The 17,216-nt window shown below is 39.9% G+C and overlaps 1 protein-coding gene and 1 long non-coding RNA gene across 5 annotated transcripts in view; both read left to right on the top strand.

Moving 5' to 3' along the window:
- The window catches only part of NFIB (nuclear factor I B), a 450,235-nt gene that overhangs the window by 46,771 nt on the left and 386,248 nt on the right, over window positions 1-17,216 (top strand). The window lies entirely within an intron of this gene.
- On the top strand, window positions 3,245-4,573 carry LOC124902121 (uncharacterized). The gene is made up of 2 exons (XR_007061420.1): window positions 3,245-3,371; window positions 4,362-4,573. It is a non-coding gene; the product is annotated as an uncharacterized LOC124902121 (long non-coding RNA).

Raw genomic sequence — 17,216 nt, 5'->3', positions numbered from 1 at the left:
TAAATGAGGGGCTTTCAACCCAAGAACTACCTATGGAATAAATTTGTAATATCCCTTCCCTAGAGCTCTTTGACTATTGGACAAGATGTCATGAGGTTTCTGTTATGGACTGAATTTTGTCCCCTCCAAATTCATTTGTTGAAGCTCTAATCCCCAGTGTGACTGTATCTGGGGATAGGGTCAAATACCTACTTGGGAGGTAATTAAGGTTAAATAAGATCCTAAGGGCATGACTCTAATCCAAAAGAACTATGGTTTTATAAGAGGAAGGAATCAATCAATCTCTCTCTCTCTCTTTCTCTCTCTCTCTGTCATGTGACAACACAGCAAGAAGGTGGCTGTCTGTGAGTCAGGGAAAGAGCCCTCACCAGAACCTGACCAAGCTGTCACCCTGATTTGGACTGCCAGGCTCTAGAACTTTGAAAAAAATATATTTCTGTTGTTTCAGCCCCCCAGTCTATGGTATTTTGTTATAGCAGCTTGAGCTGTCTAATACAGCCTCCATACAGATACAGGCTCCCCAAGACTTAATCTGTCTCATTAACCATTAATCCTCTAATCTGAATGGAGTCTGGCGTATTGCAGATGGTCAATAATTATCTATTACATTAATGAACTTTCAGGAGTCATTGTTCTGAGGCTGGAGGTGAAACATGATGCAAAGCAAATGGCCATCCAGGATGGTAGTAGCTGTAATTTATAGTTACCTGAATTCACACATACCTATGTTTGTATTGCTATATTTATTTATTTCTCTGATGCATTTATAAATTCTTAATTTTGTTTCTCCTAAAAAATGTTCTGGTTACTTATAAAAACACATATTTTGCAGCAGAGTAATAAAGAAGTAGATGAGAAGATTGGGTATAAGGGCAAGATAAATCCACAAGTGAAGTTAGCATACAAGGATATATGCCATAAGAATCTGTACCATTTGGCTCTCAACCTGCTAGAATCCAAAGCAAAGAGTTAAATCTATTCAGTTATAACATTTGCAGTATCTGTAAGATAAAAGTAAACCAGTTGCCAAGAAGCTAGAAGATGAATGCTGCTACTCAGGGCAGGGATTTTGTCTGTTTAGTTCACTATTCTATGTCTAGTGCCCCAGAACAGTGCTCAGCAAAAACTGAGTAAGTTACATTTTTTAAGTGAATTAATAAATATAGTATTTTCCTAAGTTTAGTCACTGGAGGATCTTCCAAAAGGAGTAACTAGGTAATAAAGTAGGTAACATCCTCAAGACATCCCTGTGATCAACAAACTATTTAATTCCCTAGAGCTGTTTTCTTTTCACACTTCAATATAAACTGTTGGTGTGAAATATAATTCAACAAAATTAAATTTTGTAACATCACTTCCTTAAGTTCATCAGTTGTAGCTTCCTGATGATCTGCCTTGTGCCAAGAATAAAATGTGTTTTCAGGCAAGTGTTCCGTGAAGAAACATTAAAGTTTATTTCTTGTAACATTTGATAAAAAATAGGCAGCAGAGTCTCAAATAATATTCTTCAGCAAAGAATCAAAGTGCACCTGTGCATTATTGTTGAGGAACCATAGCCATGTGCTTTGACAATCAAATGTCTGTAAGGAAAGATAGTGCTACTCTTAGAGATTCTTATTGCTAACACTCACTGGGTAACTTCCATGTGCCGGGTACTGCGCTAAGAATTTCCTTTAATCCCTGGCAGGCAGGTACTCTCGTCAAACTCACATTTACCAAAGCTCAGAGAGGTTAAATAATGAAAATCACAGAACTAGTAGTGTAAGAGGCAAGATTTAACTCAGGATGTCTGACCCCAAAGCCTGACTTCTTGACCAATATTGATGCCTCCGTGAAAATTAGGGAAGCGTCCTGAAATGTGCCAGAGTTAATAAGCTTTGTTTTTGTCCTCCTCACCAAGCATAAACACACATATCCAGTATTCTGTGTATGCAAAGATATGCTTTTCCACAGAATCCCGTTCTGAACTTTAATGTATTCTATATATCCCGGTAGCAATGAAATATGTGATGTGGTAACAATAGAATGTAATCATTTTCACATCTTACCAATTTCCCAAATGTATTTTGCTGTTAAATTTTTAAATAATTTTAGTCACAAACTAAAAGAAATTGAGTCTTTCTTTTAGAAACATAACAATTCTTTCTGTTAGAAACATACAGTTCTGTTTCTTTTCGAACAGCCTAAGCAGGAGGTTATGATTCACTTCATAGCCCACTTCCAGAAGGGCCATTTTCCTGTGTCTTTTCCTTGAGTAAATAATGCACAAGACGATCATTGTCTGGGTGCAGCAACATAATGGGTTTTATTTTTATTCGAATTTTCATTTATTGATTTTGTTTCTCTTCCACATGAATAATGCATCCTTTCAGAAGGCATCCAAATTCACATTATTTGGCACACTCAATAAAAAGTCCTTTATTTTGAGCAGTTACAAATACAAATTATGTAGTCAATGTGTTTTTAAACTGTTTAAATATGTATTTAGATGCTAAACTGAGGCATTATTAGAGAGGTTTGTATAGCAAGTGGCATACAGGTTTAACATTGCCCAAATATCTGCTCATCCTAATAAAATAACATTAAATGAGGCTGTTGTGGTTCATTTGGGAGAAATGGCATATTTAAATATTGATATAAACAGCATCCTTGTAATCATTAGCAGGGGCTGTAACTGTTAAGGTAAACAATGCAGCCCCTTCGGTGCTTTGCACAGATAGACATACTTGAGGAATGCAGTGTATCACTTGTCCCAAGAATTCTTTACTTACGTTCTATGTGATCAAAAGAGAACTTAAATAATGTCTAAACTGTTCACTCCTGATTCATCTTCCTAAGAACATGGTGAGGGGGTGAGGGGTTCTGCAAATGGGGACTGGTGAAGGGAGCTGGCAGTACTCCAGAGAGCGGGATGCATGGCTGAGGAGGAGGGGACATAACACGATATCCCCTCCTGCCCCAGGGCCATTAGAATGGGTTTAGGACAGATGCATGATGATTTTATGGCTAACTATGCCCTTGGTCAGGGCACTGTATCTGGCAGGGATTTGTTTGAGAGGAGAAAAATGGAGGAGCTACTTTTGATATAGACAAAGAAGTTTAACAGAGATGGGATTCGTGAACTAAGAAAACTAATTTGTTAGCTCAGTGACCAAAACCTTGTTTTTGGGAGAAAGAAGTGATCTCCTAGAACATGGCATTTCAGGAAGGTCTGGTGGTGGTCATTTGGGGTGGGGGGGTGGGGCATCGTCTCAGTATTCCAACATTCCAACCCTTAGTTAGAAGATGAGGGTAAGAGTCACTGAAGGTAAATAACTTTCAAGGGCTTCAGAGGTCATTTAGTCCGGCCAATAACTGGGAGAGGACCAAAGGTAAAAATGGTGCCAATGCAGGGAATGGAGTGAGGGGAGAGACTGTGTCAGAACTGGGGAAAGAGAGGAAAGAACCTGCATAGCACCTGGTGTTGGGGACCAAAAAGCATGATTTCTACCTTGGGTGAGTCTCTTTGACAGATCACAAGGCCTTACAGGTCTCAGGTTCCTTCCTGCCCAGTTCTAACATTCTATATGTTAGCAGGTTTAACTTTCCAGGTAGTAATATCCGGAGAGAACTAGTGAATGGAACCAGGAGTGGCCATGGAGATGGGGAAACACTTAGTTTGCAGGTGGTCAGGCAAATTTTGGGACCTTGGGAAATCAGTCGACGGAGGAGAAGTTCTAAAGGGATGAGAGAAATCCAAAGTCAATAGGACTAAAGAGAAAGGCCGAAAGCTTATTTTCTTAATGATCATTTCAATTTTCATCGAGAGAGTGTGAGTCACCCTTGTCTTGTTTTGGGTTCCTCTTGAAGGAGACTCAGAGACAAAGATTTTAATGCAAGAGGTTTTTTTGGGAGATAATCCCAGGAAACAGCAGGAGGGAAATGGGGAAGTGAGACAGGGAAGGGAAGGAGGCCAACAAAGGAAGCCTTATTAAACCAGTTGCTGCTCTAGGCACATGGAGCTCAAGAACTCTGGAGGACAGAGCAAAACACACCTTGAGTTACCCCAACCATGAAGCTGGGATGCTAAGCTACATATATATATATATATATATATATATATATATATACACACACACACACACACACTCAGTTTTTGACTCTTTGTCCATCAAATTAGTTATCCATGAACCCAGCCATTGGATGAGAGCAACTTCTGGGGGAGTTTACAGCCTAGCGCTTCCTACTTGCTTTGCACACTGGTCTGTCATGCTCCCCAGTCTGGCAAAATCCTCAGGCAGTGAGTCATGGGGTTCACAGTAAATGTCCAAGGTGTTATAGGTAAGGCACCAACTGTGTCTGCTACTGTTTTTATTTTTTAGAACTTAATTTTAAAGCCTGGATCTGAAATTTTTCAACTTCTTTTGTTATGAAGTGATTTCCAGCAGGAGTGATGCAAAAGCTGAAAGGCTTCATACTACAGGAAGAGGATATGGTTAAAGGCACCAGGATGTCTACAAAACAGATTTATTTCCATCTCAGCAGGAGGCAGCCATGTTTCTCTAAGTGTTGATTAAACTGTTCCTCCATGGTGGCTCCCTTGTTTGTCTCATTCATGTTGTTCTCATTTACCTCCTTTTGCTTTGGGAATTTGCCAGCGTGGAACTTGTTTCAACGGCTACATTGATTAGGTACAAGCTTATGTTAAGCTGGAAGCCAATAAACGTTTGGCTAGAGAACTTGTGGGGCTCATTAACCCAAGACAAGGTTTTGGGATGAAAATACAAATAGACCCAGGAAGGCTATGATGAGTGTATAAACACTAGACACATAATGGACTGTCCTTCTCAGTCAGGGGCACTTCACTTAACTTTTGAGATTAGCATCAAGGAAATCTCTCAAGTTCTTTCACATAGAGTCTCTTGAGGGGAGTCTGAATATGTGGGTCTGATGTCATTGGCAAATCTTATGCTTGCTTTGAGCTTTTGACTGGGTCAAGAAGCAGCATGGTACAGCTAAAAAGCTCAGGCCTAGGAGTCAAGAAGTGTTAGATTCAAATTCTGGGCAAGGTAATTGCCCTATGACCTGGTCAAGGTACTGAAACTCTCATTTTCCCAAAAAATCTGGGCAATAATTTCTACATCTCAAATTATGGGGAGATGAAATAAAGACCCCATATCTGAAAAATTGAAGAGGGCCTGACTTATAAAATATGCTCCAAGGAAGTTAGTTCCCTCCCTACACCTTTGATTATCTCTGCAATTAAAAAAAACAAAAAACAAAACAAAACAAAAAAAAACCTTTCTGTCTCTTTCCCTTCCTCCCTCCCTCCCTGCCTCCTTCTCCTTCTTCCTTCCTTCCTGTCTTCTTTCTTTTTTTCCAACCAGGGATTTTCAGTATATTCACAAGGTTGTGCAACCCATCACTGCTATCTAATTTCAGATCTCTTTTTCTTTTGATTTGTTGGAAATGGGTTTTGTTGGTTTGTTTGTTTCCCGTAGTGTTTACAAAGAGCTGTAAGAGAACCTTCTTTATTAACAAAGCCTTACATTTGAAACCCAATTTGTGCTACAGACTGCCTTAATATGTGTGAATGCACATGATCTTTACTTGGAAGGTATGCGAAGCCTTTGTAATACCCAATTTACAAATGAAGAAAGTGAGACATGACAGTTGACCTAAGGACAAAACATGAGTGAGGGGCAGTATCTGAGCCAGATCTCAGATCTCCTGTTTCCATTCCCCAAATAGTACTCAGTGGTAACATCTTTACCCTAGAAACTTTGCCAACATGTGCAAGGAACTGTCCTGTGTATGAGGTAGGCTGTAGCTTCTAGCATTAAGCCTCAGGGCTGGGGACATGGACAGATTGTCAGAAGCAATGTGGCCAAAAGCTCCACCATACCCAAGCCTGTAGATTGAAGGATGGCCCTCTGTGAAACCCACAGCTGTTTCTCCGAAGAAGTTTCATTTGGAAGTCTGCTAGTATGGGTTTCAGTACCATGAGGGTGTTTCCCATATAAAGAAGAAGATGATGTCACTGCTACTTGCTGGTATCTACATGCACTCCCAGAGCCCCCTGCAATCCCCCACAAGGGTGCTTTTCTGTGCCTTTCCTCAGTGATTGTCTGTAAGATTAGCTTCCTACTAAAATTCTAACTAGACTTAGATTCTCTTTTATTCACTGGGTGAGGGACCTGGGATCTCTATTTAGTTTTATTTCCAATATTTTTTCCCTGTCATGTAGATTTGCAGTGGGTTTAGGTGGCAGTGTTTACAAATAATTTCTTGGTCTAATCCCAACTATTTAACATCTGCAAGGATGATGTAATATGCCAGCAACTGTTTAAAGTTGTTCTAAAAGGCTTTACAAATATCCTTTGTGAGTGTGCACCCTGGTGATGGGAATGAATACACATGCTATTTTGTGAGCAATTTGAGAGAGTCTATCAAAATTTTAAATATGCTTATGTCTTGACCATAATTCCACTTCTAGGGCTTTTCCTGCAGCAATCACTCATAGCAATGTGAAAATATGCATGTGCAAGGATATTCATTACATCATTATAAGAGTGAAAAATTGTAGAGAAATGCTAAATATATACTGATAGAGGGGATTCCTAAATATAATACACTATGGAGTAATACTCAGCCATTAAAAAGAGTAAGGTTGATTTAAGTTCCCTGAAATGTTATTCATGATATGCTGATGAGAGATTGAAAAAGCAAATTGCGTAATAATATGTATTATATTGTCCCATTTTGTAAAATATAACAATACCCAAGTGATTTCTATATAAATGTAATAAATTTTTCCCATTTTTATACAAGATCTCTTTAGGGTAGACTCTGTTAAATGGTGTTCTACTCAGTACTTTAATATGTTTGGAGATGCAGCTATTGCAGAAGGAAGTAAAGAAGTCTAACCTGTTCTGTATGTTTGAAGGAAGGAGATGACAGCAGAAAAGATAAGGAGAGGAGAGAGAGAGAAGGTGAGGGGCTAGCAGCATCTGAGGCAAAAGCAAGTGTAGCTCTCCCTGAAGCAAGATGGAGGAAAAGACTTAAGAAGTGAAGTCGTTAATGAGTGATTTTAAATAGCTTGCTGTGTGCTTCCTAGTAGGAAGTCTGGCCAATAATCCTCAAATCGTCACTAAAGTCACTAATGCTTTGTGTGAATATGTAGGTGTGTGTGCATGCCTAAATCCAGGAAGGGGCCAAGTTGACCATATAAGTCAACAATGCAGAACAGAGACAGCAGCCAGAGAATAGGGAGCCTTTCTTGGCTTTGGAAGCACATCAAATCTTTGAAAATATGTAGAAATCTTGAGGAGAACCTTAGATTTCCTCAGGGCATAGAATGGGGGGTGGGGTGGTTCAAGCTGTTCATCTAGATCTTATGGGTCTGGAAGACATCAGCCAACATCAGGATTACAAATACAGTAGAAGAACTATTTTTTGCCAAAATGCTTGCAATGTGGCTAGATTAACGAATCTAGATATTCTACCTACAAAAGAACCCAATGATAACAACAAAACAAAACCTTAATCCAATCTATACATCTTCTGAATACGTTCTCCACTTTCCATTATATGGATTATGAAGTAAGAATGGGATGTGTAATGTATTTGTATACTTTCATTTCAGTACTTTAAACTTTATTGCTTTTACAACATAGAAATAACTCTGAACCAGCCCAACTCATGCATTACCAGAACAGCCACCAACCTCACTTCGCAATATACCACCAAATGAATCTCCATGGCAACCAACCAGCACATCCCACCATATGCCACATACCATGAGGAATTACTCCTCAATTATTACTCGGCATGATAGTTTAAATGGATAAGCATTTCAAAAAAATCCTTTTAGGCCAATCTCATTATTTGGATGGTTCTGATATTGAGAAATCTGAATAGGTGACATTTTGTTATTTAGATATACATTCACTTATATATACCCAGAAAAAGATTTGGAATACCTACCGTCACTTCAGAGGGGGACTTTTAATTTTCACTTTATATATACTACTTTATTATTTTCTTTTTTTAATCATAGGCATATGTTATTTTGTAATCAAAGAAAGAAAATGCTGTCCCATACTTGGTAAGCAGTCACTTCTCCTAATGCCACACCTTTATGGAATGCTATCCCCTACACACTGCCTCAGGCAGAATGGAATGTCATATGGGGAACTGGTTGCAGCTAGATGCTATTATTTTAAGAAATTTTAAACATCCTCTGCCTTTTCATTGAACTCAAGATGAGCACTTAACAATTACAAGTATTCCTAGAAGCAAAGAAATCATATATATTCTGGTATTTATTTAAAGTACTAAGAGATTCAAATTCTTTATATAATAAGAAGTAGCTTTAGTCTTTATCAGCTCAAACATTATGAGCTATAATCCATGAAACATGCTATTTTTAACAAATATTTATTCTTCCTATCATTCTGAATGTGAAACATTTTCATTTCTTCTAAGAACATTCCAGGTTTAAGTCTGAGAAATGGTCCTGGTCTTTCAACAATTGAAGAGATTGTGGGCACCTATCTCACCCCAGGGTTTTAGTCTCAGAGATTACCGGGTTTTCTTGCTGTCTTTTGGTTGGTTGTTGGTTTTTTTATTTGAAAGCTTAACTTCTCAATGTTTGTACAGATGACTAAATTCCCTTGTAATGTTAATATTAAGAAAGAAGTCAGGAATTTTGCGTGATGATCTTACAAGGAGAAATAATCCTGAAGCAATAAAAAGCATCTAGAAAGTAGCCAAAGGACTATACAGAATAGTGTATGGGGATTTTATATCCTACCACATACTCTATTAATACAGCTTATTAATGGAAAGCATGAGAGGCTGACAAGTCAATCAAGGCCTGAGCATGAACACTGATCTGGCTCACATCACTGTCCAAGTTTGAGAAGGTGAGTCAAGATGCTTCAGTTGGGCATCATCTGTACTCCCCATTATCTGACAGGCACAAATAAATTAAAAATTGAGCTGTTTTTACATTTTTTTAGATAAACTAAAATTGAGTGTTTTTCCCATTTAATCTTCCCAGGTGAAAAAAAAAAAAAACAAAAAGCTTAGAAAAACTCTAGGAAATCGACCTTATCTTTGTCATTTGCAAATCAATCAGAAAAAAAAATATTTTTCCTTTTGAACTTCTAATATTTGGTTTAGGGAGTAGAGTTAGAATTCTCACAGATAGACTATTGATTTCACTTTTCTGTCTGTTTCAAATTTGCCTCCTATTGACATGTGGCATTGACTTATTGTTCTGACAAGTCCAGGAATGTATTTTCTGAGTTTGGATTTGTTAAGTCCAATTTTTTTATTGTCAAATTTATTTTTTATGGTCCAGGTCCTTTGGAACTCAGGGAGTTAGTGTGAGTAAAGTGGGGGAAGATCTACCAAATTGAATTCCTTTCCCCAGTGGTATTGTAGCTGAAGAAAAGGAGCCCGCTAATTATGTTATTTAGGCATGGAGATGGTAAAGGGGATGGTGAGGTAAAAACCATAAATTTTGTGAGAAATTGTATCATTTTGCCAAAAAAGAATGAGAAGAGGTCTTTGGAAAGCTCAGATGCTCCCTGCTTTGTGTGAATTTGACAGGTGGGTTGGTAGGTCCTGAAACATATACCCTTGGGAAGGGTTGGGGAAGGTCAAGGAGATGGGACATGTCATTGAGTGGGAAAGCAGGAAAAAGTGGGAGCTAATGTGGGTGTGGGGAATACGGGCTGTCAGCAAGACGCTGCAGGGGTCAAGGAGGAGAGCAATGAAGGACAGGAAGCAGTGGGCATTCAAGACTCGCTGGCCTTTTTTCCATTTTCTCATGCTTTCTTTGGCACTTGACTGCTACAGGTTTTTAACTTCCTGAACTGTACCGTCCATCATGGAAGGCTCTCCTCACTTACTAAGGCTAAAAACACAGGCTCCATAGCCTCTTCATTTTATCACACTAATGGTCGAAAGGTTCTTATCCTATTTTGCATTTGTTTCTTGAGGGGAACTTGAGAAGCAAAACTCTGGAGCCATGCTCCCCAGGTGCAAATCTGAGCTCTACCACTCCCTGCTCTGTGACCATGGGCAAGTCACTTAGCACGCTATGCCTCAGATTCATTTTTAAAATTAGGATGGTAATACTAGTATCTTCACAAGATTTTATGAGGATTAAATTAGCTGTTGGGCACTGTTGTGGTTAATTTCAGGTGTCAACTTGGCTAAGCTAAGTGATACCCAGATAGCTGGTAAGGCATTACTTCTGGGCGTGTCTGTGAGAGAGTTTCTGCAAGACATTAGCATTTGATTCAGTTGACTGAGTAAAGAAGATCACCCTCACTGATGTGGGTGGGCAGCACACAATCCATTGAGGGCCCAGATAGAAAGACAGAGTGAAGGGTGAATTCCCTCTCTGCTTAAACTGAGACATCCATCTCCTCCTGCCCTCAGATATCAGTGCTCCTGGTTCTTGAGCCATCAGATTTGAACTGGGACTTACACTGTTAGCCCCTCACCCCAGTTTCTAGCCTTAAGGTCTAATGGAATTTGACTGTCAGTCCTGTCTTTCTTTTGATTTCTCCCTTTTGGAATGGGAATGTCTATCCTATGCCTGTCCCCCACTGTATTTTAAAAGTGCATAACTCGTTTTGTTTAACGGGTTTATAGCTGGAGGGGAATTTGGCCTCAGAATGAATCATATCTTAGGTCCCACCCAGATCAGATTTAGACAATATTTAGATGAGACTTTGGACTTAGATTTTAAGGTTGATGCTTGACTTTAAATGCTATTAGGATGGAACAAATGGGAGGACATAAATTTTGAGAAAACGGGGCGAATGCTATAGATGGAATATTTTTGTTCCTCCAAAATTCGTATGTTAAAACCTAATCCCCAATGTGATAGTGTTTGGAGGTGGAGTCATTGGGGGGTGATTAGGTTTTGAGGATGAAACCGTCATGAATGGAATTCATGCCCTTATAAAAGGGACCCCAGAGAACTTCCTTGACTCTTACACAGCAAGAAGGCAGCCATCCATGAACCAGGAAGAGGACCCTCACCAGACAGTGTATGTGCCAGCACTTTGATCTAGGACTTCCCAGCCTCTAGAACTATGATAAATACATTTCTATTATTTATAAGCCACCCAGTTTATGATATTCTATTAAAGCCACCTGAACAATGTAAGGCAGGAACATGATAAATGCTCAGTAAATGTTAAGGGAAAAAATCCTCCTTGAAAACATAACACATTTATTCAGCATATGTCTGATAAAATCCTTGTAGTATGGAGTTGATATCAGGGTTGTGCAGTTCATCTCCGTCCTCACACCATGTCCAGCGGCTTCCTGAAGACTCTGCACAGTGACTTCTATGTGAACTGAAGCCTGTGCCACAGTCAATACTTAGGAGGTGATGGTGAAAAACGGTCATGGTTCTGAAAATAAGCCATGCATTTGTATGTTGGAAATCTTCCCTTTGCATAACTGGAAAACAAATCTATGAGTTTTTCAGCAAAAGTGGAGACATAAAAAAATCATGCGGGCCTAAATAAATTAAAAATCAATTAAAGGCAAGTGCATTTGTGTGTGTGTAATACTATTGGAGTTCAGGTGTCGCAAATGCCTTGTAGTATACACATGGAACTGTCCTCAAACTGGATTATCAGCACAGAGTGGGATGCAGACTTGGAGAGAGGCAGTATAGCCTGATTGAAATGGGAGCCCGATAAGAGACTAGTCTTGCAGGGCTGTGATGTTGGGAGAGGAAGCTTGAGAAGCAACACAGTGGTGAGTGATGAAATGTCCATTCGTGAGAAACCTGCTCCTTTAGGCCTGTTGAATCTGTGAATAAACAGTACCAACATCTGCAAATAGCACATTTTACAAGCTTGAATTGACTTTTCTACAGAACTGGGAACCTCTTCATGGCTTTCTTCTCTGAAAATAATTCAATAAGAAGATCCAAAAGAATACTTTTTGTTCTAGTCTTGGAATCTTCACCGTGTGTCAAATGACCATTGATTTTCTACCCCAGGTCAAAAATTGTATCCCTTGATAAAAGGTTGTATGTATAACATTTACTATACAATGGGATTATCCCAGGGTCTCCTCCTGAAACATAGCCTGTCCTTCAGTGTTTCTGCAGCTCAATATTGAGGGAGATTCTGCAACACGTCAGACCTCTGAGAGCTAAGAAGTGTCCATTCCTTCACCTCTAGAACTATAAAACCCCCTGTCCTTAGGTAGGGTGTGGGGTTTAAGAAAATTCTACATCATGGGATGCTGAACATCGGATTCCCCTTTTAAAGCCTGGATGTTAAGATGCTTCACTTAATATGGTTTGTGGAAGCTAGAAATGATAACTAAAATAATTCTAGAGCAGTGCTTCTCAAAGTGTCTGTGGTGAAAAACCAGCTTTGGTTTGGTTGTTATTTTCAATCTGTTGCAGACCAATCCTTTTTTTTTTTATTTTTATTTTTTTGAGACGGAGTCTCGCTCTGTCGCCCAGGCTGCAGTGCGTTGGCTCGATCTCGGCTCACTGCAAGCTCCACCTCCTGGGTTCACGCCATTCTCCTGCCTCAGCCTCCCGAGTAGCTGGGACTACAGGCGCCCGCCACGACGCCCGGCTAATTTTTTGTATTTTTAGTAGAGATGGGGTTTCACCGTGTTAGCCAGGATGGTTTCAGTCTCCTAACCTCGTGATCCACCTGCCCTCAGCCTCCCAAAGTGCTGGGATTACAGGCGTGAGACCAATCCTTTTATAAATTGTAATAAAAACGAATTACTAGAAAAATGAAATTTAAAATAAAGCTTTACAGAATACAAGCTACACATTTTATTTTGTTTTACACATTTTAATTACTAGATTCAACAGACATAAAATCACTGTACAATTGCCTTAATGTTCCTAAACTCTTGCTCTTAATTTCTGTTCTTGTTCCAAAGTGGATCTGGAATAAAAATTTTGTAGATGGACACTGGTCTATGGATCACCACTTGGAGTAGCACCAGGCTAGAGGTCGTTGAGAACAATACACTTTCGTCCATAACTTGGACCTAGTCTGGGAGTATTTCAGCACACACAGCAACATGTGCATTGCTAGTGCTCACTTAAATGACCATATCATCAGAAAGATACTGTGTTAAAATTATATTGCAAGGGACACAACATAGACCTCAAAATTTCAGTCAACCTGATGATCTACAGGTAATCCATTGACCAAGACAAATTGTTCTGCGCGATCTCTCATCTTTCCTATTTCTACATGTGTGAAAATGCCTATTACAGGAGTGCCAAGGGCAGTCTAAAGAGCAAGGGAACTCATTGAAGGAAAAATATAACCTGCAGGTCGGAGATGGAGGCAGAGAATGGAGGGGTGCCAAGTAGCTAGAAGCAGTAAGACCTGGACTATATGCCTGCCTAACACAGGTGGATCAATCACTTCAGAGGCCTCTTCAGGGGCAATTATTCCTGTTTGTCCCAACTGGGAAACAGCTCAGACTGGAAATAACTGTGGTTTCTGTAGGGCCACCCTAAGACTGATTGTCGCAAATTAGCTTGGTAAAGTGATGGACTAAACTTCCCGGATGAGTTCCAAGGCCCTGTGACAGGGAAAAACAGAGAATAGATGGTGACTTACGTGGCAAAAAGTGGAACCAGAAAAACCTTAAATTCTACTCCCCACTGGTAAAGGGAACTATGTAGATAAGGTCTGGCTAAGGTATCCACCATCCAAAGATCAATTCTTCCTAAATAGTGGCTATGATTTTAGAAGCTTTGCAGTCTTCTACTAACTTGGTTATTGGGAAACAAATGTAGTCTTTCTTTTCCACGTGTTGCTTACTGCACATTCTTATTCCTATAAAATCAATATTTGGCCCATATGATGGCAACGCTTCTGGGGGGCATTCCACATGTGGTACACATTTGACTCTGCAGCTTATTTATAAATAAGCTCAGGCACAGGACAACAGTGATTAAAGACCAGCCGGTGCCTGACCTCAGGGGGGAGGCAAATCCATTTAGAAGCCATTCACCTTTCATCCAGACTTCATGTCCTACATGCGTAACATCAGTGATGTGAGGAAGGAAGTTGGAGCTTTAGTCATCAATCCTGTTTAAGTGAAAGACTGGATCAGTGATTTTGAGATTGTTGCTTCCTACGATTATAGAAGTTTATATTTCATTTCCACAGTATTTTTTAATAGTAACCTTATGCTAATTCAACATATGCTTACTGTAGAGATAATTGTCTCCAAGAATATCAATACATATGGAATTTTTCAGATCATTAATGCTTTAAACTATGCATCAAGTTCAATTATCTAACCATTTCAGGTCCAAGGTCAGCTTTTAGGCACCCTGCCTCATCATTTCTGTTTCCTTTTTATCTTGGAAGTGGAAAGGAATTTAGAGTTCATCTTCTCCATCCCATTGCCTTGACAGATGAGGAAACTGAGGCCTATGAGGGTGAAATGGGTTACACTGAGGTCTTACAACAAATTGTGATTAGAGTCTGGGTTCCGTTCCCCTGGCTCTTTGTCCAGTCTTCTTTTAGGTGTTTCCTCCTAGTTTCGGCAGAAATCAGAGTTCATGAAAGAAACTCTGAATGTAATTGCTGTGGACATGTGGTCTCGAATTTATACTACAAGATGCTAATCATTGCCTGCCTGCGTGTCTGCTCGTGCCCTCTCTAGAGGAAATCCCCCTATCCCAAGCCCCTGCTGCCTAAGCAGCCAGGTTTTGTACTATGTGACTCCTCTACTCCCACCATTGTTAATTAGTCCAGAGATGACCATCTGGCCCTTATGGAGTTCATCCATAGAAGGGTAAAAGGTAGATAGGACAATTCAAATTCTCTTTTTCAGGGGGGCAAACCAAGGAACAGAAGGAATTTGCTATTTGGAAGTGAGATCATGAAGCTGAAATAGGAGTAAGTTGAAAGCTCACAAATATGGCAAACCAAAACCATATGCAATTTAGAGTTGTATAAGAACAGGAACCAGGAGCAAGCAGGGAAAGCCAGTGAGTAAAGAGAGGAGAAAATGGAGCAGACACACAGAGTTGCACATAGACTCTGCAACATGGCTCTGCTGCAATGACAATAACAGCTGTTTCCAACCTGTGCCAGGCATTGCTCCCAGCTCCTCACCTGCATGAACTCATTTTAGTCCTCATGACAACCCATAGGGTGAATATCAATGTGATCTTTCATTTCAGATAAATAAACTGAGGCACAGAGAGGTTAATTAGCTTGCTGAAGTTCATACAGTTCCCTTCACTGCTTTAGTACCTGCCAGTCTGTTTGCATCCCCGTGTGAATCTCTGCAATAGTTCTTTAAAACACACACACACAATGGAAAATGTAATTATTTAACCACAACACAAATAGAATATTTGGGGAAAATTGGACTTGAAATTTTCAAGCCTTGATTAAAAAGTCACCTAGACACAGTGTAATCATTTATATGATTTGGTTCTAATGTTCTTCCTCAATCCCTTCCTTGGGTTAGTTTGAGTTGGAGACCTCCCCAGGCAGAACCATGATGGACAGCCATTAACAAGTATATAGGAGAGGACTTTATAAGGAATGCAGGCTGGATATTATGTTCTTGTCATTTAATGTCTGAAAGGGGGAATACAAGACAGTGGTAGAAAGAGGGAGGAAAATGGAAACCTAGCTAGTTAAATGCAGGAGAGCCCACATGCCCCACTTCCAACCAATTCGTATCAGGCACCTGCTGAAGGATTTAGGAGCATGCATGCAGAGGGAAGAAGCCAGTAAAATACACAAGATTACGTTATTTCCAAATTTGGAAGGGAGAAGATTTTAGAACCAGAGGATGGGCAAAGGCAAACTCACTGATTTGATACCTAAGTCATACCAGTGAGAATAATACAGTAATCCAGAGATGGGTTCCGAATCCACATTTCCAGGGAAGAGCTCTATACATCAACAAGTGTGTGGGCACTTCTCATCACCAGAGAAGTTTGTGAAACCCACAATGATCATCAGTATCCCATGTCATCTTCACAGTAACTTTTCAAGTTGATAACAGGCTTATATCTTTTTGCCGTATGATAAAACTGAGTCTTACAGGGTTTTGGGGCCCTACTAGGTTCAGTTTGCACAGTTCGGTCCCCCAATCCCAATGTGTTCATACCTGGCTGCTCTGGAAAAGAAGTGGGCATCAAAAAATAGTCTTGATCGAGACAAAGGCAGTTAAAGGAACGTAGACACAGGACCACTGGTGTTCTACCTGAAGTGTGTGGAATCGAAGTGGGCATTGTTGTGCCTGCCTGCCTGTCCCAGACACACTTCTGATACCTGGATATGTCAGTGTGGAGCACACGGTTAGGATTAGAATGAGGGAGGAAAGAGGATATGAGAGTGAGAAGCCACCAGTATTTCTGGAGTTATTTTTATTCCAAATGGTGGTCTTCTGTACCTTTCTACCTGTGAGATCTGGGCAATTTACTTGTGAGAGTCTTAGTTCCCTCACCTATCAGTGAGTGTGATCATTTCTACCTCTTGAAATTGTTTTGGAATTTAACAAAATATGTATGTAGAACACCTAGCATTCAAAATGCCTCACAAGTGACAGATAGCTCCTTCTTCATATACATCCACTGTATCTCCACCAGTTTTCTATCCAGTTCCTGCCAGCATCTTATTCGAGTGGAGAATATCATCTCGTGTTCCAGACTTTTCCTGAGAGAAGCTGAAAGAGGAGCAAATTAGAGCTGCTTTGGGCAGCAATTTTTACACACTCAGAAATAGTGCAACAAAATTAAAGCCTCCAAGCCAAATGGAATACCCACTCTCACCCCTCTACCCAACCTGGGTACCAGCTAACAAAGAATGCATCTCTATTCATTAATAAGTGGGCATTTTTTGTGTTTATGTTACGCTAAATGTTGGAAATGACCCCCTTCCCCTTCACTGCCCTGAATGCCTTAGATCATATCATCTCCTCACCTTATCTTACTGGCAAAGAGGTGTACCTTAATTAGCATTTTACAAGCATTTTGTCTGCATTGGTTACCTTTAAGTTTGATAAGTCCTTGAAAGCTCTATATTCATTCACTCTTCTTAAAGTCTTGCTAAATACTCTCTTATACAACCAGGCTCTGATGACATCATGCTTCGTAGCAAACATACATCCTTGGTGAGTGGCTTTGTCAAATCGGTTGGTTTTCTACATTTGGCACTTTGTGTGTAAGTTGGTTT

The sequence above is a fragment of the Homo sapiens genome, chromosome 9, assembly GCF_000001405.40.
Source record: "Homo sapiens chromosome 9, GRCh38.p14 Primary Assembly".
Taxonomy (NCBI): Eukaryota; Metazoa; Chordata; class Mammalia; order Primates; family Hominidae; genus Homo; species Homo sapiens.
The sequence above is the reverse complement of the archived record's forward strand: the minus strand, read 5'-3'. Positions and strand labels throughout refer to the sequence as shown.